The sequence below is a fragment of the Homo sapiens genome, chromosome 9 (genome assembly GCF_000001405.40).
Source record: "Homo sapiens chromosome 9, GRCh38.p14 Primary Assembly".
Classification (NCBI taxonomy): Eukaryota; Metazoa; Chordata; class Mammalia; order Primates; family Hominidae; genus Homo; species Homo sapiens.
In genome coordinates this window covers 96,388,872-96,411,727 of record NC_000009.12, presented here as the reverse complement: position 1 = coordinate 96,411,727, position 22,856 = coordinate 96,388,872, and the positions used below count along the sequence as shown (strand labels likewise).

Sequence of the window (22,856 nt, the reverse complement as noted above, 5' to 3'; positions counted from 1 at the left end):
GAAAATATAAATGTGTTGCTGGTGGCAGAAACAGTCTCTTAGAGTTGCTGGGAGGCAGCCATATGGTTAACTTTTTTTTTTATGTTAACTAATCAGTTATTTCAAATTGCAAAAGTCAGCAATATGTTCTTGCATATTTATTTGTTTACTTATTTTTTATGTTTTTCAGACGAAGTCTCACTCTGTCACCCAGGCTGAGTGCAGTGGCACTGTTAGGGCTCACTGCAGCCTTGAACTCCCACTCTCAAGTGATCCTCCCACCTCAGCCTCAAGTGATCCTCCCACCTCAGCCTCCTGAGTAGCTGGGACTTCAGGTGTATATCACACCTGGCCTTTTTTTTTTTTGTAGACAGGGGTCTTGCTATGCTGCCCAGGCTGATCTCAAACTCTTGGACTCAAGCAATTCTCCTGCCTCAAATTCCCAAGCAGTGGGATTACAGGCATGAGCCACGGCGCCCAGCCTTTCTTACATATGTAAAAATACTAGGAAAGGGATCCTTTTATGGCAGAGGACTTGTATCACTAAGGTTTTTTTGTTTGTTTGTTTTGAGACAAGGTCTCTGTCGCCCAGGCTGGAGTACAGTGGCGCAATCATGGCTCACTGCCGCCTTGGCCTATCGGGTTCAAGTGATCCTCCTGAGTATGGGACCACAGGTGTATGCCACCACACCTGGCTATGTTTTTTTTTTTTTTTGTAGAGATGGAGTCACACTATGTTGTCCAGGCTGGTCTTGAATTCCGAGTTCAAGTGATCCTCTTGCCTTGGCCTCTTAAAAGTGTTGGGATTACAGGCGTGAGCCACTGTGGCCAGCCACTATGTTTTTTTTGTTTTGTTTTGTTTTGTTTTGTTTTTGACAGAGTCTCGCTCTGTTGCCAGGCTGGAGTGCAGTGGTGCAATCTCGGGTTACTGCAACCTCTGTCTCCCGGGTTCAAGCGATTCTCCTTCCTCAGCCTCCCAAGTAGCTGGGACTATAGGCGCGTGCCACCACACCCAGCTAATTTTTTTTTGTATTTTTAGTAGAGACGGGGTTTCACCATGTTGGCCAGGATGGTCTCGATCTGTTGACCTTGTGATCCACCCACCTCGGCCTCCCCAAGTGTTGGGATTACAGGCGTGAGCCACCGTGCCTGGTCTATGGTTTTTTTTGTTTTTTTTTTTTTTTTTTGAGACGGAGTCTCTCTCTGTTGCCCAGGCTGGAGTGCAATGGTGCCATCTCGGCTCACTGCAAGCTCCGCCTCCTGGATTCACGCCATTCTCCTGCCTCAGCCTCCCGAGTAGCTGGGACTACAGGCACCCGCCACCACGCCCGGCTAATTTTTTGTATTTTTTAGTAGAGACGGGATTTCACCGTGTTAGCCAGGATGGTCTCGATCTCCTGACCGCGTGATCCACCCGCCTCGGTCTCCCAAAGTGCTGGGATTACAGGCGTGAGCCACCACGCCCAGCCAGGCCTATGGCTTTTTTTTTTGAGACAGAGTTTCACTCTGTCGCCCAGGCTGGAGTGCAGTGGTGCGATCTCGGCCACTGCAACCTCCGCCTCCCAGGTCCACGCCATTCTGCCTCAGCCTCCCGAGTAGCTGGGACTACAGGCGCCCGCCACTGCGCCCAGCTAATTTTTTGCATTTTTAGTAGAGACAGGGTTTCACCATGGTCTCAATCTCCTGACCTCGTGATCCACCCACCTCGACCTCCCAAAGTGCTGGGATTACAGGCGTGAGCCACCGCGCCTGGCCTGTGGTTTTTAATTGTCCTGATTTCATGTTCTGTTTCTTTCTTAACAGAATCAGCTCCTATTTTTATTGATCACAGATGCTATATTCTTTTATATTTATTTTGTACTTATTAAAACAATTATTCATGATATGACCATAACCAGCAATAATCCATGAAATTATTGTGGCTTAATAAATGATGGCAATGAAGATTTCACTCCTGTGTAGCTCCTTCTGTCTGACTCTGTGTTAATAATTTTAGCAAGCAAGACTTGAGCTATATGTGGCTACTGAGGATCACAGCCAAGGAGTAAAGAAGATGAAAGAATTTGATGACCACCAATCATGGCCAGAAGTTGATTTGTTAATTTGTACTTTAATAAGTCATGGTCCATTAGGATCTTGCTAATTCCTGTTTCATTATGCATGGGAATTTCTTGAGTAATTAAGTAAGGTTGATGAGCTTTTTGTTTCATCAACAGATATTCGTTACTAACCCACTGAGTCAGTTAGCTCAGGCTAAAAAGCAGGCTGCAGAATGCAACTTCAAGATGGCAATCTCAGCCTCAACATGGCTCATGTTATGTGTCCTGGGAGGGTTGACCACTGGTGTGCTCCACATTCTGTTCATTCTAGGATCCTGAAGGAATCTCTCCAAGCTGGGACAGATGGGTCTCAAAGCAGAGAGAAAACAGAGATGGTAGAACCGTATGTTGTATTAGTCCATTTTGCATTGCTATAAAAGAATACCTGAAGGTGGGTGATTTATGAGGAAAATAGGTTTATTTGGGTTGTAGTTCTGCAGGCTGTACCAGAGGCATGGCACCAGAATCTGCTTCTGGTGAGGGACCTCAGGGAGCTTCGAATCAAGGCAGAAGGCGAAGGGGAGCAGGTTTCACATGGTGAGAGAGGGAACAAGAGGGAGGGGAGGAAGTGACAGGCTTTTTTTAACAGTCAGATCTCATGGTAACAATATGAGCGAGCACAGCGTCTAGATGTTCATGAGGGATCTGTCTTTATGACCCAGACACGTTCCACTAGGCTCCGCCTCCAATACTGGGGATCAAATTTCAACATGAGATTTGGAGGGGACAAACATCCAAACTACACAGGCTATTTTCACTCACATTTTATTGGCCAAAGCAAGTCATATGGCTAAGTTGCACTCTGGACCCACAGTGAAAGGGGCAGTGAATGTTTTTGCAATAATATCTGCCACAGTGCCTTCTGACATTTTAAAAATTGTGGCAAAAACCCGATAATATTTTCTACCTTAACCATTTTTAAGTATACAGTACAGTAGTGTTGACTATATGTAAACGGTTGTGCAACAAGTCCCTAGAATTTATTCATCTTGTAAAACAAACTCTATACTCACTGAACTTGCCTTTCCCCCGCCCCTCTCTAGTCCCTGGCCACCACCACTCTTCTAAGAGTTTGATGACCTCAGATACCTCATATAGGTAAAATTATGCAGTATTTGCCTTTTTGTCACTGGTTTGTTTTACTTAGCATAATTTCCTAAAGGTTCATCCATGTTATGGCATATGGCAGGATTTCCATCTTTCTGAAGGCTGAGTAGTTTTCCATTGTTACTAACACACTGAGTTTGCTTAGGCTAAACTGTATATAGCACTATTTATCCATTCATCAGTCAGTGGACATTTGGGTTGCTATCGATTGTGAATAATGCTGCAATGAACACAGATGTGCAAATATGTCTTTGAGATTCTGTTTTCATTTCTTTTGTATATGTAGCCTTCCCACATTGTTTTTTAAAAAATATTTATTATTTATTTATTTATTATACTTTAAGTTCTAGGGTACATGTGCACAACGTGCAGGTTTGTTCCATATGTATACATGTGCCATGTTGGTGTGCTGCACCCATTAACTCGTCATTTACATTAGGTATATCTCCTAATGCTATCCCTCCCCGCTCCCGCCACCCCGCGACAGGCCCGGTGTGTGATGTTCCCCTTCCTGTGTCCAACGTTTATTTATTTATTTATTTATTTATTTATTTATTTATTTTGTGTTCCATTAAAACTTTATTTACAGAAACAGGCTATTTGCCAATATTTTAATCTATTAAAAATTACTCACGTTGGCCGGGCGCGGTGGCTCATGCCTGTAATTCCAGCACTTTGGGAGGCTAAGGCGGGCGGATCAGAGAGATCGAGACCATCCTGGCTAACACGGTGAAACCCCGTCTCATTGGCCTGATGAATCTTTCATATTTAGGTGGTTTTCTTGTAAAGCCATCTCCAACAAAGCACACGTTAGTAACTATCCTCTTCCATGCCTTCTTTCCTGTTCGAATAACTTTTAATACTTCTGCTTCTCCCTGGGCACGTACTTTAGGCAGAGGGACTTCCCATTTTCCCGCCTTCTCTTTTCGTTTCTGTTTAATCATATTGGAAAGTACTTTAGCTCGAGATTGTCCCTCTCTGTCCAGCAGATAGGCAGGTACTGCTCCCTGTGGAGTCTTTTCATCATTCTTTTGTTTGGTGTTTTTCTTTTCATGCATCTTTGATAGTCTTTTTTTCATTTATATTTTCTCAGCATGGCGCTGTTTATGTTAAAGCTTAGCCTTCAGACCAATCATTTTCTTTGCCTTCTTTGAACGTTCATGAGCCTCTCGACTTTCCTTCTTTCTCTTTTTCTCATGGTAATCCAAACGGTATCCATAGCGTTTACGGTGTAATTCAATATATTCGTTCTGTGGCATGGTGACGGCCGCAGAGCCGCCAGGAGCAGCCCCTGGGGTGCGAAAATGCTCTCAATTTTCGGGTCTCAAAGACCCACAAGCCCACGCCACGCAGGCCGGGACAGGAAAGCTATTTATTTATTTAATAATAGAGATGGGGTCTTGCTATGTTGCCCAGGTTGGTCTCTAACTTCCGGCCTCAAGCGACCCTATCACCTCAGACTCCCAAAGTGCTAGGATTACAGATGTGAGCCATTGTGCCTGACCCCCACGTTCTTTTTTTTTTTTTTTTTTTTTTTTTTTGAGATGGAGTCTTGCTCTGTCACCCAGGCTGGAGTGCAGTGGTGCGATCTCGGCTGACTGCAAGCTCTGCCTCCCGGGTTCACGCCATTCTCCTGCCTCAGCCTCCCGAGTAGCTGGGACTACAGGCGCCCCCCACCGCGCCCAGCTAATTTTTTGTATTTTTTTAGTAGAGATGGGGTTTCACTGTGTTAGCCAGGATGGTCTCAATCTGTTGACCTCGTGATCCGCCTGCCTCGGCCTCCCAAAGTGCTGGGATTACAGGCGTGAGCCACCGTGCCCGGCCCCCACGGTCTTAATCATTAAAAAAGTTAACTGTAATGGCTAATGAGAATTTACCAACATAAAACATATTTCTTCAGTTATTAATAATTTTTAGGTGTTCCTGTTTAGTACGCTGCCTGAATCTAAAGACTAAAGGAAAAATAGGTAAAGACTTCATTAAATCTTTTGAAAACTTTCTTTAGACTTTCAGAATAAAAGTAGTAAGTGTACAACTAATTTGAATATTCATGGTATAAGACTGAAATCAGGTCATTAAGTTGTGCTGAATATAGATTTTAATATCTAAGGATTTTCATAAAACATGATTTATCCTAGAAGATAATTCATCCATGTAGGGATTGAACTTTTCTTTCAATGTGAAAATTTGATTGAAGGGAATTTTGCTGTAGCTTATTACTATCCTTCAAGGTTTCAGGCTGATGTTTAAGCTTTTGGAAGGCTTTGAGTTTTGATATTGAAAGCCCTAAAAGCATCTTCATTTTAGAAGTAGTTGTATATGATCCTTTTATGATTTTTTTTCATGTAACTTGTATGTGTGAAAGTTCACTTAACTGGGAAACAAAGTTTCTTTCAAGTAAATGTTTATTTTATATTAGTTTTAGCTGTATAGAAAAGCTGTGAAGGTAGTACAGAGAGTTCCCATAAACTGCACACCCAGCTTCCCTGTTAACATCTTACACTAATGTGGTACATTTGTTAAAAATTAATGAACCAATGTTGATGCACTAGTATTAACTGAATCCCATAGCATATTCAGATTTCCTTAGGTTTTTAATCAATGTAAAATTACATAACATTAAATTAGTCATTTTAAAGTGTACAATCTAGTGACATTTAGTACATTCATAATGTTCTAAGAGTTCCAAAACATTTTTATCACCTCTAAAGAAAACTTGATCTGTTAGACCACGATTCCCTGTTCCCTACTACATGCAGACCTTGGAAACCAACAACCTACTTTCTGTCTCTATGGATTTACCTATTCTGGATATTTCATTAAATGAAGTCACATAATATGTCGCCTTTTGTGTTTGGCTTCTTTTTTTAGCATACTGTTTTTTAGGTTCATCCACTTTGTAGCATATATTATTTTCATGGCTGAATAATTTCATTATATATGTATACATATTCCATTGTGTATGTATATGTATATATATATGATATCGATACAAAACTATCAAACTTTTCCACAGTGGCTGAGCCATTTTACATTCTCATCAGTAGTATATGATGGTTCCAATTTCTCTACATTTTTAATAAAAAAACTATTTCCTACTTATTTTCCTTTTTTTCTCCCAGTATAGTATAACCTCGTTGGTGCAAAGCAGTATCTCATTGTGGTTTCAATTAGCATTTTCCTAAATGATGAATAATTTTGAGGATTTTTTTTTTTTTTTTTTTTTTTGAGACAGAGTTTTGCTTAGTTGGCCAGGCTGGAGTGCAGTGGTGTGATCTCGGCTCACTGCAACCTCCGGGTTCAAGCGATTCTCCTGCCTCAGCTTCCTGAGTAGCTGGGATTACAGGCACTCGCCATCATGCCTGACTAATTTTTGTATTTTTAGTAGAAACGGGGTTTCACCATGTTGGCCAGGCTGGTCTTGAACTCCTGACCTCAGGTGATCCACCCACCTTGGCCTCCCAAAGTGCTGGGATTACAGGCGTGATACACTGCATGTGGCTGATTTTCAGCATCTTTTTATGTATTTGCTGGCCATATAACTGCATTTGTTGGCCATATAACTGCTTTGGAGAAATGTCTGTTCAAGTCATTTGCCTATTTTTTAATTGAGTTTTTTGTGTTTTTTGTTGTTGTTGAGTTCTAAGAGGTCTTTTTATATCCTTGATACTAGGCCCTTATCAGATGTATGGTTTGCAAATAAATATCTCCCATTCTGTAGGATGGCCTTTCGTTTTCTTTGTAATGTCCTGTGATGTACAAAAGTTTTACATTTTGATTCAGTCCAATTTATTCTTTTGTTGCTTAGCTCTTGGTGCCATATCTAAGAATCCATTAAAAAAATACAAAGTCAAGAAGAGTCATCCCTGTTTTTATTTTAAGAGCATTACAGTCTTTTTTTTTTTTGGAGACGGAGGCTCGCTTTGTTGCCCAGGCTGGAGTGCAGTGGCGTGATCTTGGCTCACTCTGTTGCCCAGGCTGGAGTGCAGTGGCGTGATCTCGGCTCACTGCAAGCTCTGCCTCTCGGGTTCACGCCATTCTCCTGCCTCAGCCTCCCGAGTAGCTGGGACTACAGGTGCCCGCCACCGCGCCCGGCTAATTTTTTTATTTTTAGTAGAGACGGGGTTTCACCATGTTAGCCAGGATGGTCTCGATCTCTTGACCTCGTAATCCACTCGCCTCAGCCTCTCAAAGTGCTGGGATTATAGGCGTGAGCCACTGCGCCTGGCCAAGTTTTTGTACTTTTAGTAGAGACGGGGTTTCATCGTGTTAGCCAGGATGGTCTTGATCTCCTGACCTCGTGATCCGCCCGCCTCGGCCTCCCAAAGTGCTGGGATTACAGGCGTGAGCCACCGCGCCCGGCCTTGTTTTTGTTTTTTTGAGACAGGGTCTCACTCTGTTGCCCAGGCTGGAATGCAGTGGCATGATCTTGGCTCACTGCAACCTCTGCCTCCTGAGTAGCTGGGACTCCAGGCATGTGCCACCCTGCTCTGCTAACTTTTTGTATTTTTGGTAGAAATGAGATTTCACCAGGTTGCCCAGGCTGATCTCGAATTTTTGGGCTGAAACAATCCACCCACCTTGGCCTCCCAAAGTGCTGGGATTACAGGCATGGGCTACCGTGTCCAGCTAAGAGCTCTATAGTTTTCGTTCTTATATTTAGCTCTGTGGTACATTTTGAGTTAGTTTTTGTATATAGTGTAAGGTAGGGGTCTAACTTTATCCTTTTGTATATGGAAATCCAGTTATCCCAGAACCATTTGTTAAAGAGACTATTCTTTCTCTGTTGAATGTTCTTGGGTCCCTTGTTGAAAATCAATTGGCCTTTCATGTATAGGTTAGGTTCTGTACTCTAAATTTTATTTCATTGGTCTATATGTCTTTCCTTATGCCATTACCACACTGTCTTAATTGCCAGTGCTTAGTAGTAAGTTTTGAAATTGGGAAGTGTGAGTCCTCCTGTTTTGTTCTCTTTTTCAAGATTATTTTGGCTATTTGGAGCCTCCTATAATTCCATATGAACTTGAGGATAGCCTTTTCCATTTCTGCAAGAAAAAAAAAGAAAAAAAACCCCTGGAATTTTAATAGAGATTGCATTGTGGCTGTAAGATTGCTTTGGATAGCATTGCTATCTTATCAATTTTAAGTCATCTAATTCTTGAATTGTATCCTATAAGTTTGGTATGTTGTGTTTTTGGTATTATTTGTGTCAAGGTATTTTCTTTTTTCCCTTGTGATTTCTTCTTTGACCCATCGGCTATTTAAGAGTGTGTTGGGCTGGGCACGGGGGCTCATGCTTGTAATTCCAGCACTTTGGGAGGCCAAGGCGGGTGGATCACGAGGTCAGGAGTTCAAGACCAGCCTGGTCAATATGGTGAAACCATGTCTCTACTAAAAATACAAAAATTATCTGGGTATGGTGGCACACACCTATAGTCCCAGCTGCTCAGGAGGCTGAGGCAGGAGAATTGCTGGAACCTGGGAGGTGGAGGTTGCAATGAGCTGAGATCATGCCACTGCACTCGGGCCTGGGCAACAGAGCAAGACTCCGTCTCAAAAAAAAAAAAGTGTGTTGTTTAATTTCTATATATTTGTTCCTGTTTTCCTTCTGTAAAGTTTCATTCCATGAGGTCAGAGAAGATACTTGGAATGCTTTCAGTCTTTTAAAATTTAGTGAGACTTTTTTGTGGTCTAACGTATGGTCTATGTTGGAGAATATCTTTGTGGATCTTCTGCCTAGTTGTCTTATTCATTATTGAAAGTAGGGTATTAACTGGGCACAGGGGCTCACGCCTGTAATCCCAACACTCCGGGAGGCCGAGGTGGGCGGATCACTTGAGGCCAGGAGTTCAAGACCAGCCTGGCCAACAAGGTGAAACCGTCTCTACTAAAAATACAAAAAAAAAAAAAAAAAAAAAAAAAATTAGCCAGGCGTGGTGGTGGGCACTTGTAATCCCAGCTACTCGGGAGGCTGAGGCAGGAGAATCGCTTGAACCTGGGAGGTGGAGGTTGCAGTGAGCTGAGACTGCATCACTGCACTCCAGCCTGGGCAACAAGAGTGAGAACCTGTCTCAAAAAAAAAAAAAAAAAAAAAAAAAGAAAGAAAGAAGTAAAGGAAGTAGGGTATCGAAGACTCCAGCTGTTTTTGAACTATTTCTCCTTTTAATTCTGTCACCTTTTGCAGGAGGCTCTGTTCTTAGGTGTATATATATTTCTAAAAGTTATAAGTTTTTCTGTCCTTTCACAGTTCTTTCTTCTTTTCTTTTGTTTCTTTCTTTCTTTTTTTTGGAGATGGAGTCTAGCTCCGTTGCCAGGCTGGAGTGCAGTGGTGCGAACTCGGCTCACTGCAACCTCCGCCTTCTGGGTTCAAGTGATTCTCCTGCCTCAGCCTCCTGAGTAGCTGGGACTATAGGCGCGTGCCACCATGCCCAGCTAATTTTTGTATTTTTAGTAGAGTCAGGGTTTCACCATGTTGGCCAGGTTGGTCTTGATCTCTTGACCTCATGACCTGCCCACCTCAGCCTCCCAAAGTGCTGAAATTTAAGAGATAGGGTCTTGCTCTGTTGCCCAGGCTGGAGTGCAGTGGTGTGATCATAGCTCACTATAGCCTTGAACTCCTGGGCTCAAGTGATCCTCCTGCCTCAGCCTCCTGAGTAGCTGGGACTATAGGCACACACCACTGCACCTTGCTAATTTAAAAATTTTTTTTTTTTTGGAGATGGCATCTCACACTGTCTGCCAGGCTGGAGTGCAGGGGCGCAATCTTGGCTTACTGCAAACTCCATCTCCCAGGTTCAAGCGATTCTCCTGCCTCAGCCTCCTGAGTAGCTGGGATTACAAGTGTGCGCCACTACACCTGGCTAATTTTTTTTTTTTTTTTTTTTTGAGACGGAGCTTCGCTCTTGTTGCCCAGGCTGGAGTGCAATGGTGCGATCTTGGCTCACCGCAACCTCTGCCTCCCAGGTTCAAGTAATTCTCCTGCCTCAGCCTCCCGAGTAGCTGGGATTACAGGCATGCACCACCATGCCCGGCTAATTTTGTATTTTTAGTAGAGACAGGGTTTCTCCATGTTGAGGCTGGTCTCGAACTCTTGACCTCAGGTGATCTGCCCGCCTCGGCTTCCCAAAGTGCTGGGATTACAGGCTTGAGCCACGTGCCCGGCCTAATTTTTGTAGTTTTAGTAGAGGCAGGGTTTCGCCATGTTGGTCAGGCCGGTCTCGAGCTCCTGACATTGTGATCTGCCCACCCTGGCCTCCCAATCAGCTGTTAATCTTATCGAGGACCCCTTTTACATGATGAACCACTTTCTTTTCCTTTTGAGGCCTGGTCTTGTTTTGTCCCCAGGCTGAAGTCCAGTGGCGCGATCATGGCTCATTGCAGCCTTGACCTCCCAGGCTCAGCTGATCCTCCTTCCTCAGCCTCCTGAGTAGCTGGGACCACAGGCGTGTACCCCCACACTTGGATAATTTTTAAATTATTTGTAGACATGAGGTCTCCTTACGTTTCCCAGGCTGGTCTCAAACTCCTGGATTCAAGTGATCCTCCTGCCTTGGCCTCCCAAAGTGTTGGGATTATAGGCTTGAGCCATGGTGCTTATCCAAGTCACTACTTTCTTGCTGCTTTCAAGATTCTTTTTGTCATTTGACAGTTTGATTACAAAATGTCTTGGTGTGGATCCCTTTATTTTTCTTGAAGTGTATTGAGCTTCTTGGATGTTTAGATTTGTGTCATATCAAATTTGGGAAGTTTTCTGTCATTATTTCTTCAAATATTCTTTCCCTTTCCTCTCTTGCCTCTATGACTCCAGTTATATGTATGTTGGTATGCTTGATGGTGTTCCATAGGCATCTTAGACTCTGTTGATTTCCCTTCCTTCTTTTTTCTTTCTGTTCTTCAGACTGGATAAATTCAACTGACCTATCTTCAAGTTGGCTGATTGTTCTATCAGTTCAAATCTGCCACTGAAATCCTCTAGTGAAGTTTTTTTTTTGTTTGTTTTAGTTATTGTATGTTTCAGCTCCAGGATATCTATTTGATTCTTTTTTATAATTTCTGTCTCTTTGTTGGTTTTCTGTTTGTTGAGACATTGTTCTCCTGGTTTCTTGTCATTCTTTTTCCTTTTTCTTTTCCTTTTTTTTTTTTTTTTTTTTGAGACAGGGTCTTGCTCTATTGCCCAGGCTGGAGAGCAGTGGTGTAATCATGGCTCACTGCAGCCTTGACCTTGCAGGGTCAAGTAATTCTCCCACCTCAGCCTCCCAAGTAGCTTGGGAGAAGTGCCACCATGCCTGGCTAATTTATTTTTATTCCTTTTAGAAAGGGGGTCTTGCTATGTTACCCAGGCTTCTTGTTCTTTGTCCATCATTTCCATTAGCTCACTGAACACATTTAAGACAGTTGATTTAAAATCTTTGTCTAGTAAGTCCAGTGTCTGTTCTTCTTCTCAGACTCTTTGTGTTAATTTCTCCTGTGTATGTACCATACTGTTTTTATTTCTTCACATGCTTTGTAACATTTTGTTGAAAACTGGAGGTTTTGAATATTATAATGTGACTCCGGAAATCAGACCCTTCCTTCTGAGTTTTTGTTGTTTGCTATGAGTTGTAGTTGTTTAGTGAGTGTTCTAAACTCTTTCTAAATTCTGTGTTCTTTGTTGTGTTTGTTCTCTAAAGTCTCTTTCTTAGCCTGTGTTCAGCTGATGCTTTGTTTGTTTGTTTTTTGTTTTTTTGAGATGGAGTCTTGCTCTGTCACCCAGGCCAGGATGCAGTGGCGCGATCTCAGCTCACTGCAACCTCCACCTCTCGGGTTCAAGCAATTCTCCTGCGTCAGCCTCCTGAGTAGCTGGGACTAGTGGTGTGTGCCACTATGCCTGGCTAATTTTTGTATTTTTAGTAGAGATGGGGTTTCGCCATGTTGGCCAGGCTGGTCTTGAACTCCTGACCTCAGGTGATCCACTGGCCTCAGCCTCTCAAAGTGCTGGGATTATAGGCGTAAGCTACCACGCCCGACACTTTGTTTTTTGTTTTTTAGAGATGGGGTCTCACTCTGTCACTCAGGCTACAGTGCAGGGGCATCATAACTCACTGTAGCCTTGAACTCCTTTGCTCAAGTGATCCTCCCACCTGAGTCACTGGGATTATAGGCTGAGCCACCACTAGTGTTTTGACAGACTTTTTTGAATACCTAGAGCTTCCCTCCACCATCCCCCAAAAAAGAGTAGACAGAAAGGAGGACAACCACCTTCTCCCAGTCTTTGCAGAATGGCTGTGTTGGGGGACACTGTGGTTGCTTAGCCCTGCTGTTTACAACTCTACTGTAGCCTCATTTCCTGCTTGTGCTGAGCCGAAAGTTCAGCTAAAGGGTCTTTTCAGATCTTTTCTGAGCATGCTTCCTGCCCTGGGCATATATGCATGACTTTCTAAATTCCTAACCTTAGTATAAGTGGACATTGTTGAATGCCCAAATTTCCAAAAGAAACTTTCTCCCAGCTTTTCCTCTCAGGCTGTTGGTGTGTCTGTTTGCTTCAACTGAAATCTTTTGCCCCAGGTGGCTGCAGATTATTTGCCTTACAAGTTTTTTGAGCAATACCCTCTGAAGAGACACCTCTCTGCCCTGTTCCAAGTTAGGGAAAGCAAAGACCAATGTCTTGTGTCAGTCCTTTAGGTAACCCGCAGGCTCAAAACAGGCAAACGCAATTCTTTCAGAATTTCTTCCTCTGGAAGCAGGGACTAAAGGAGTAGGTTCCCAGACTGAGAATGCAGGCTGCTGTCTTCAAGACTGCCACTGGGGAAGGGAAAGAGAGAGGGCAAGTCAAAATGCTGCAAAGCTTTTCTACTGTTTCAAGTTGCTTTTTTATTCAGTTTGCTGAGTTGCTATAAATGTATTTTCTGGAGTTGTGACAAAGCTGATCTGACAGTTTTTGCTTGATTTTTTAGTCATCTGTGGAGGGATGGGCCATTGGAGTTACCTGCCTCACCATTTTTACTGATGTCCCTTAAGAAAGGCTTTTGCTTTGTTTTTAGAGACAAAACAAAAATGTTTTGTGCTATGTTGCTTCGAACTCCTGGCCTCAAGTGATCCTCCTACCTCAGCCTCCTAAATAGCTGGGACTATAAGTGTGTGCCGCTGCGCCCAGCTCCCAAGAAAGATTTTTGAAAGTTATATTATGATACGTTGCTTTAATGAGTAGCGTTAAATAAATTATATTAATGTTTATAAAAATTATCAACAGGATGGAATCCGACGTGGTAGGCCCAGAGCAGATACTGTCCGCGATTTAATAAATGAAGGAGAGCATTCATCCAGCAGAATCCGTTGTAACATCTGTAATAGGGTGTTTCCACGGGAGAAATCGCTCCAGGCTCACAAAAGGACTCATACAGGTAAGTTGAGCAAATTTTATAGAGACTGCCAGAAGTAACACTTTTTTTTTTTTTTTTTTTTTTTTTTTTTTTTTTTGAGATAGTCTCGCTCTGTTGCCCAGGCTGGAGTGCAGTGGCGCGATCTTGGCTTACTGCAAGCTCCGCCTCCTGGGTTCAAGCAATTCTCTTGCCTCAGCCTCCTGAGTAGCTGGGATTACAGGTGTGTGCCACCACGCCCAGCTAATTTTTGTATTTTTAGTAGAGATGGGGTTTCACCATGTTGGTCAGGCTGGTCTCGAACTCCTGACCTTGTGATCCGCCTGCCTCGGCCTCCCAAAGTGCTGGGATTACAGGCGTGAGCCACCGCGCCTGGCCAGAAGTAACACTTAACTGAATGCTGATTTGATATTGAGTAATAAATTAACTTTTTAGTTGCTTTATATTTTCTTATTACCACTATTAGTTGTGAAGTTTTTTAAAAAGGCAGTATAGTCAGTTTCTTTTTGGTGGAGAGTGGTGGTTTTATGAATACTGGTTACATGTGATTTCTAAAGTTATCATGGTAATTAACCTAGATGTCATAGTCATGTTATTGGCAAATTTAGTTTTACCCCCTACTTGCCCAAATTGTACTTGATATACTTTTATCTATGTAATTGTTAAAATTCATCTGTAGGCCAAAAACATTAATTGTCAAGTTTTTAATAGAATGTTTAGAGTCCTCACTGTGCTATCAGGACATTTGACCTAAGCATTAAATCTGTGGTGAACTATGGTAGGCAGCCATCTCAAGATTATGGTACATCTTTATTTGCATATGGAAATTATATTTGCATTTTAAATATCATTTAGAGAGCCAAAAAAAAAAAGTATAGAGGGCCCTTGTTCTCGCTATAAAGTTGGCCCCAAAGGAAGGAACCTTATAGTTCATCTAATAGTTTACAGGTGAGGAAACTGAAGTGCCAAAAATCCAACTACTACCGGCTTACAATCAGTCTCTCATACCTTTAAAGCTAGAGCTACACTGCCCCATACAGTAGCCACTGTGACTCCTGAGCACTTGAAATGTGGGTAGTCTAAATTGAGATGGGCAGTAATATAAAACATACTTAATATGAAAAAAAGAGTAAACAATAATTTTTACTGTTGATTATGTATTGAAATGACACTTTTAGATAAATTGGATTAAATAAAATACATTATTAAAATTAATTTCATGGCTGGGTGCGGTGGCTGACGCCTGTAATCCCAGCACTTTGAGAGGCCGAGGTGGGTGGATCACCTGAGGTCAGGAGTTCAAGACCAGCCTGGCCAACATGGAGAGACCCCATCTCTACTAAAAATACAAAATTAGCCAGGTGTGGTGGCACATTCCTGTAATCTCAGTTACTCGGGAAACTGAGGCAGGAGAATCACTTGAACCCGGGAGGTGGAGGTTGCGGTGAGCCAAGATGTGACATTGCACTCCAGCCTGGGCAACAAGAACAAAACTCAATCTCAAAAAAAAAAAAAAATTTATTTCACCTCTTTCTCTTTACTTTTTCTAATGTGCCTTCTAGAAGTGGTTCATATTGTCTTTCATTGGGCAGTACTGGTTTAGAACTTAAGCCTGTAACCCTCAGTCCCCTATTTTTTTCCACCATGTTTATGGTGCTCACCTGTTTCTCACTTTTTTTTAACTTGTGGTTTTTGAAAATATATATTTAAATGATATGATAGAATAGAGGTTTTTTTTAAGTTAAATCCCTGGAAAGGGGTAATGTTTGAATTTTAAATCATTATAAACTAAGGTGTCTAGAAGTTTTGACTTTGGATACCATTAGTAAAATGATTACTTAATGAAACATTCTAATTTTGAGAATTTTTATATATTTTTTTCAATCTAAATATTCTAAAATATCCCCTGGATAACTGGTTTGTAGGCCGTAGAGTTGCCAGTGTGGGTAAGATTCAAGACTATGTGGCAGAATGAAGAAAGGGCTGAGTGCCGTCCTGATCACCACTACCTCACTGTGTCACCTGATACCCCAGGCATCAGCCTAGATGTCTGTACATCAAGGAACTGAAAGGAGGATCCCTAAGGGATAGTTGAGCCCTATTAGCATATTTTGTAAAAAGCTTTTCCCTTACTATTTTAAACAATCCCCCTATATCTGTGTTTTATTTTAACTTGTATTCAACTATCACAACCATTTATTATGTCTCTAAATAATGAGAAATTTAGGGAGGACTTGTTATTCTTTGAGTTATACTGGAAAATGCAAACTAATGTACAATTGTTGATTAAATAATGTTTTTTTCAATAAATAATGTTTAATTATCATTAACAAATTTTTCAGCACTTGAGCCTGGCACTGTGTTGTCTATAGGAATTTAAGTGAAGTATAAGGTACTAGGAATCTTTGCAGGAGACTACCATGACACATAAACAACACAGGACCCCAGGTTAATGAAGGTATACAAAGTTCAATTATTTGGAGGTAGATAGGAAGAATTCAGTTATTTGGGGAGATAGGAAGAATCTCACTGAGAGCCTACAGGATTGGGAAGATTTGAATGGGCAGAGAAAATAGGATTTTCAAGGATTAGAACAAGATGAGGAACTGCCTCCTGGCTGGAATGATTCTCCAGGAGGGAAGTAAGGATAAACTCTGCCCCTTAACCCCAGTAGCTAATGAGGTTGGTGAGATTGCCTAGAGTGCCGATCTTAGAGGACCATTTAAGTCAGCAGATAATTTTTAGTTGTCCAAGGTGTGTAATAGGATTTGGGGGTGGTTCAGGAGCTAGTTGGTATGACAAAAGCAGATTTCTATGCCAGCTACTCTGGGATTGCTGTGCAGGGGGAGAAACAAGAGGCCGGCCAGGAGGCTGTCGGAGGGTTCATCCTAGTGGGAGGGCTGCCCGTCTGACCAGGGGAAGCTGAGTGGGAAGGCAGGAGTGGGTGGAAGACATAGTGAAGAATCAGCAAGATCTAGTGATTTGGAGTATGAGGGAGAAAAAATATGGGATAAGCTCAAGATGATAACCTCAAGGCCTAAAGAATAGATTGTGTTCCCCAGCAGATAGTCATTGATGCCACCCAAGTGCTGCCATTAGCATTTCCACCTGCAGCTCAGTAGGGGCCATGACATGTTTTATTGTTATTGGGAGTCATGACCTATATAAAGGCTGATTCTCTCCCCATCCCCCTCCTCTTCTGGCCTTATTATCTCAGATATAATATCTAACATCTGTCTACTTAGGTGAGAGGCCCTATCTGTGTGACTATCCAGACTGTGGAAAAGCCTTTGTTCAAAGTGGACAGCTCAAAACACATCAGCGTCTTCACACCGGAGAGAAACCTTTTGTTTGTTCAGAAAATGGTACGGTGTTAGAAGTTAAGTTTATGGAATAACTAGTTGTGACTTAACAGTTAAAATATCCTTTCCTTGAATTTTTTTGAGGGGAAAGATTTTTTAATATAAATTTTATAAAACTTTATAAGCTTTCTTCTTTGATAATTGTGATACATGCTGAATTTCTCAGAAATGATTGATTTTAAAAATTTGTTGGTTTTGATTTTTGTGGGTACACAGTACGTATACATATTTACAGGGTACATGAGATACTTGATACAGACATGCAATGCATAATAATCACATGGTAAATGGGCTATCCATCCTCTCAAGCATGGGTCCTTTGTGTTACAAATAATCCCGTTATACTCTTAACTTATTTTAGAATGTACAGTTAAATTATTATTGACTATAGTCACCGTGTGCTATAAAATACTAGGTCTTATTCATTCTTTCTATTTTTGGTACCTATTAACCATCCTTACCTGCCCCTCATCCCCCAGTTCCCCTTCCTAGCCTCTGGGCACCATTGTTCTACTGTCTATCTCCACGAGTTCAATTGTTTTGATATTTAGATCCCACAAATAAGTGAGAACAAGTGATGTTTGTCTTTCTGTGCCTGGCTTAAGAAATAATTGATTTTTAAATAAAGTAATCCTTTTTGATGAAACCTTAAAGGGCAATTAAAGATACTATATCCAGTTGTAGGCAGTAGAAAAATCTGTAAAAGTAAATACAGCCTTTGGAGCAACATTTTAAACTTTTTAATTATTAAAGTGAAGTAAGCATATTATCCTAAGTGATTTTCTTAATCTTTTATCAGTTTCTAAAGATGCACATTTTTATGCAGTTACAGTATATTTGAAGTTCCGTGCAATCTGTCCTGTTGCTCTGTAATTTTCTTGATTATTACAAATGTTGCAAAAGTCTGCAAAGTTTTCATCCAGCAAGTTTGCTTAAGCCTATATGCAATGGTTTCCTCTATGTTGAATAATGAATATTTGTTTATTTATTTTTTGAGACGGAGTTTTGCTCTTGTTGCCCAGGCTGGAGTGCAATGGCGCCATCTCAGCTCACCGCAACCTCCGCCTCCTGGGTTCAAGCGATTCTCCTGCCTCAGCCTCCCGAGTAGCTGGGATTACAGGCATACGCGACCATACCCAGTTAATTTTGTATTTTTAGTAGAGATGGGGTTTCTCCATGTTGGTCAGGCTGGTCTTGAACTCCCAATCTCAGGTGATTCGTCCACCTTGGCCTCCCAAAGTGCTGGGATTACAGGCGTGAGCCACTGCGCCCAGCATTTATTTATTTATTTATTTTTTATTGTTTTGAGATGGAGTCTCACTTTTCGCCCAGGCTGGAGTACAGTGGCACGATCTTGGCTCACTGAAACCTTCGCCTCCTGAGTTCAAGCAATTCTCCTGCCTCAGCCTCTGGAGTAGCTGGAATTACAGGCTTGTGCCACCATGTCCGGCTAATTTTTGTATTTTTAGTAGAGATGGGGGACCATGTTGGCCAGGCTGGTTTTGAACTGCTGACCTCAGGTGATCCACCCGCCTCGGCCTCCCAAAGTGTTGGGATTACAGGCATGAGCCACTGCACCTGGTCTGAATATTTAATTTGTTTTTTAAATGTTCTTGTTACCAACAAAGCTGAGGGGAATGTTTTCACACGTGTAGCTTTGTTCATCTTTTGGGATGCTTCCTTATGTTGGAATCCACAAATGGAATTCTCGGGTCTGAGGTTTTGAACTCCACCCGACCCCTGCGATGGAGTCTGGCTCTGTCGCCAGGCTGGAGTGCAATGGCGTGATCTCGGCTCACGGCAACCTCTGCCTCCTGGGTTCAAGCTATTCTCCTGTCTCAGCCTCCTGAGTAGCTGGGATTACAGGCAGAGACCACCACACCCGGCTAATTTTCGTATTTTTAGTAGAGATGGCATTTTGCCGTGTTGGCCAGGTTGGTCTCTAGCTCCTGATCTCAAGTGATTCGCCTGCCTCGGCCTCCCAAAGTGCTGGGATTACAGGCGTGAGCCACCACGCCCTGCCATTTTGAACATTTTGAACTCATGCTAATAAATCACTTTCCAATGGTGTTGGACACACATGGCCACGACCAAAATGTGACTGTCTTCCTGTCCCCGCTCTAGCACTGATGAGACTGTGCTGGTTTGATTGTTTTCTCCTCCAAATTATAGATCCTAAATTTCACCATATTAATTTACTTTTCTGGATACCAGTGAAACTGAATGTTTTCCACATGTCTATGTGCTGGATGTCCAGATCCTGACAGGTGTTAACCTTGTGTTTTGAAGGCTGCCTGAGCAGATTCACCCATGCAAACCGCCACTGTCCGAAGCACCCCTACGCCAGGCTGAAGAGAGAGGAGCCCACGGACACACTCAGCAAACATCAGGCTGCCGACAACAAGGCCGCGGCCGAGTGGCTGGCGAGGTCAGGAATGCTGCCTTTAGTCCACCGTGAAGATGCACAGCGCGGGCTGGGGCTATGTCAGGGACCTGGACATGCCTCTCATTTTAAATAAGCTGCATTTATACACATTTTATAACATAATTAGAAATGACCCCTGATTTTCTATAAAATTGTTGTGAGTGGTATTAGGATCTTAGGATCTGTGTGTGATAGAAAATTACAATATAATTAGAGTGCCCAGACTACAGTTTATTTTAAAAGGAAGAGTTTTCCTATTTTGAAAAAATGTTTTATATGTATTGTATTTCATTCGTCATGAATGCAACCTTTTTCATTTTCTTTATGTTAGCCTTAGCTACGTGCCAATTAAAACAGGGATAGACAGCCGAGGTGGGTGGATCGCCTGAGGTCAGGAGTTTGAGAACAGTCTGGTCAACTTAGTGAAACCCCATCTTTACTAAAAATACAAAAATTACCTGGGCAGTAGTGGCACGTGCCTATAATCCCAGTTATTCGGGAGATTGAGGCAGAAGAATCGCTTGAGCCTGGGAGACGGAGGTTGCAGTGAGCCAAGATGGCCCCACTGCACTCTTGTACTCCAGCCTGGGTGACAGAGTGAGACCCTGTCTCAAAACAAAGCAAAACAAAACAAAAAAACACCAGGGATAGATGTTAGTGGTTCTTCTTAGGTGAGGTTCCAAAAACACCAATTTAATTTTTTCCAATGGCAACAAGGGGGCCAGTATAAAAGAATTTCTCTAAGGATATTTCGGTTGAAGGGCCTGTCTGCTGTACACGAGCCAGCAGCAGCTGCTCAGGCCTCACCCAGGCTTCACTGGCTGCTTAGGGTAAAGTCCAGGATTCCTAGCTGTGCTGCCATAGCCCTGCCTCCCTCTGATAAGGCAACTGTCCCCTGCCATGCTGGGCTGTGGGTTTCTCAACACAGGTGCCTTTGTATGAGGGCCTGTGTGCACCCTGCTTCCTCTGCCTGGAGCACTCACTCCCCACTTGGCTAAGCCTCTTGCTCACCTTCATCTCTTACTCAGGAAGGCCTCCCTGACCTGCTCAGCAACAAACGGGCTGGGACCAACTTAACAGATGCTTTCATTTTCCTTTTCAAAACATCCATCACACATTTATTTGTTTATTTTATACCTTCCCTGCCAGACTGAAAGCTTCCCCGGGCAGGGATATTTGTCTTGTTTATTATGGTAAGCCTAGGGCCTAGCAGAGCTTCTGGGCCTTGATAAATATTTGAAGGAATAAACTCTGTTTTGTTTGGATAAAAATACATAAGAATTATATAATGGAATCTGGAAATACTATTTGATTATTCACGTCCAGGGAAATTTGTTAGCACTGTCATAGAAATTGTTTAGATGGACAATTCTAGGGGTACCTTAAACTAAATATCTCCATCACTTCCTCCCCTCCTCTTTCTCCTGGTTAGCTCCTACTGCCCCATTATTTCTAATTGTGTCCCAGCCAGAAGCTTACTGGTCATCCTTGTCTTTTTTTTTTTTTTTTTTTTTTTCGAGACAGGGTCTTACTCTGTTGTCAAGACTGGACTGTAGTAGCAGGATTATTAGCTCATTGAGCCTTGACCTCCTGGGCTCAAGTGATCCTCCCACTTCAGCCCCCTGAGTAGCTGGGACCACAGGTGTGTGCCACCATGCCCAGCTAATTTTTAAGTTTTTTGTAGAGACTGGGTCTTGTCACGTTGCCCACGCTGGTCTCAAACTCCTGGCCTCAAGTGATTCTCGCACCTTGGCCTCCCAAACTGTTGGGATTACAGGCATGAGCCACCGCACCTCGCCTCCTTGTCTTTCTGCTGTCTACTCAGTGACCAAGTTATGACATCTACCTCCTTACTAACTCAAATTCAGCCACTTGAATGCTCTCAATCCATTTTCCATGCTGCTGCCAGAGGGATCTTTCTAAAATGTCAGTATGATCCTCAGTCTAAAGCCTAAACCCTTTATTATGGAATTCAAAGTCCTTCCTTACCTGGTTCCTGCTGACTTGCTGAACTTATCTTTTGCCATTCTCCTCTTCTAGTCATCCTTCAAGTCATACTGAACAATTTGCACTTTCTTTTTTTAGACCTCTGTGGGCATTGCCAAAACTTTTCCACTTTAAGTAGTCTGGATTTCCTGAAATTTGGTAGTTGTATTTCTTTTTTTTTTTGGTATGTAATTTTAAAAACAGCTTTGTTGGGGCTGGGTGCGGTGGCTCACGCCTGTAATCCCAACACTTTGGCTGAGGTGGGTGGATCACCTGAGGTCAGGAGTTCAAGATCAGCCTGGCTAAATGGCAGGACCCTATCTCTACTAAAAATACAGGCCTGGTGCGGTGCCTCACGCCTGTAATCCCAGCACTTTGGGAGGCCTAGGCAGGCAGATCACCTGAGGTCGGGAGATCAAGACCAGCCTGGTCAACATGGTAAAATCCCGTCATTACACTCTAGCCTGGGCAAGAAGAGTGAAACTCTGTCTCCAAAAAAAAAAAAAAAAAAAAAAAAATTAGCCAGGCATGGTGGTGGGCGCCTATAATTCCAGCTACTCAGGAGGCTGAGGCACGAGAATAGTTTGAACCCAGGAGGCGAAGGTTGCAGTGAGCCAAGATTGTGCCACTGCCCTCCAGCCTGGGTGACAAAGTGAGACTCTGTCTCGAAAAATAAAATAAAAATAAATAAAAACAGCTTTGTTGGTATATAAGTAGCATATAAGAAATTATGATACATTTAAAGTGTACAGTTTAATACATTTTAAAGTATACAATTTGATACATTTTTGACATGTATATACTGTGACACCATCTCCACAATCAAGATGGTGAACATATCCATCATTTCCAAGTTTCTTCGTGCCCCCTTTGTGAACTGAACTACACATTCCTCCCTGTCCCCCTTCCCCCCATACAACACTGATCTGCTGTCACTATAAAATAGTAGTTTTATACAAATGTAGTTTGTTTATTCTCTCGATGGGCATTTGGGTTATTTTTGGCTATTACATATAAAGCTACTATGAACATTAATATACAAGGCTTTGTATGGACAGTTTTGTATGATCTGTTACTGTCATTTAAAATGCATTTTTCTTTTTTTTTTTTTTCTTGAAACGGAGTCTCGCTCTGTCACCCTGGATGGAGTGCAGCGGCCCGACTTCAGCTTGCTGCAACCTCCGCCTCCCAGGTTCAAGTCATTCTCCTGCCTCAGCCTCTGGAGTAGCTGGGATTACAGGTGCCTGCCACCATGCCCGGCAAATTTTTTTGTATTTTTAGTACAGAGGGGTTTTCACCATGTTAGCCAGGCTGGTTTTGAACTCTTGACCTCAAGTGATCTGCCTGCCTTGCCTCCCAAAGTGCTAGGATTACAGGCGTGAGCCACTGCGCCCAGCCTAAATACTCATTTCTTTAGTTACCAAAGAGTTGAGCATTTGCATTTTCTCTTGTAAATTATCAGTTGGCCATGTAACAGAATAAGGGTAGTGTTTTTAAGTTTTTGAATAAACTCTGTGTCACAGATGTTAATCACTTTTTCATA

The 22,856-nt window shown here is 42.5% G+C and overlaps 1 protein-coding gene and 1 pseudogene across 1 annotated transcript in view, besides 1 other annotated feature; one reads left to right on the top strand and one right to left on the bottom strand.

Moving 5' to 3' along the window:
- ZNF367 (zinc finger protein 367) overlaps window positions 1–22,856 on the top strand; it is a 32,430-nt gene that overhangs the window by 6,643 nt on the left and 2,931 nt on the right. Inside the window, exons 2-4 of the mRNA NM_153695.4 lie at window positions 13,414–13,564; window positions 16,786–16,905; window positions 19,192–19,330. Coding sequence (NP_710162.1) covers window positions 13,414–13,564; window positions 16,786–16,905; window positions 19,192–19,330 — 410 coding nt within the window. The remainder of the gene's footprint in view (window positions 1–13,413; window positions 13,565–16,785; window positions 16,906–19,191; window positions 19,331–22,856) is intronic.
- Window positions 3,748–4,553, bottom strand: NSA2P7 (NSA2 pseudogene 7; annotated as a pseudogene).
- Window positions 19,187–19,481: a silencer, noted in NCBI's record as "tiled region #10311; K562 Repressive non-DNase unmatched - State 17:Gen3'". NCBI's record gives its function as "represses a minimal TATA promoter and a strong SV40 promoter by Sharpr-MPRA in K562 cells {active_cell/tissue: K562}" and the evidence as "EXISTENCE:reporter gene assay evidence [ECO:0000049][PMID:27701403]".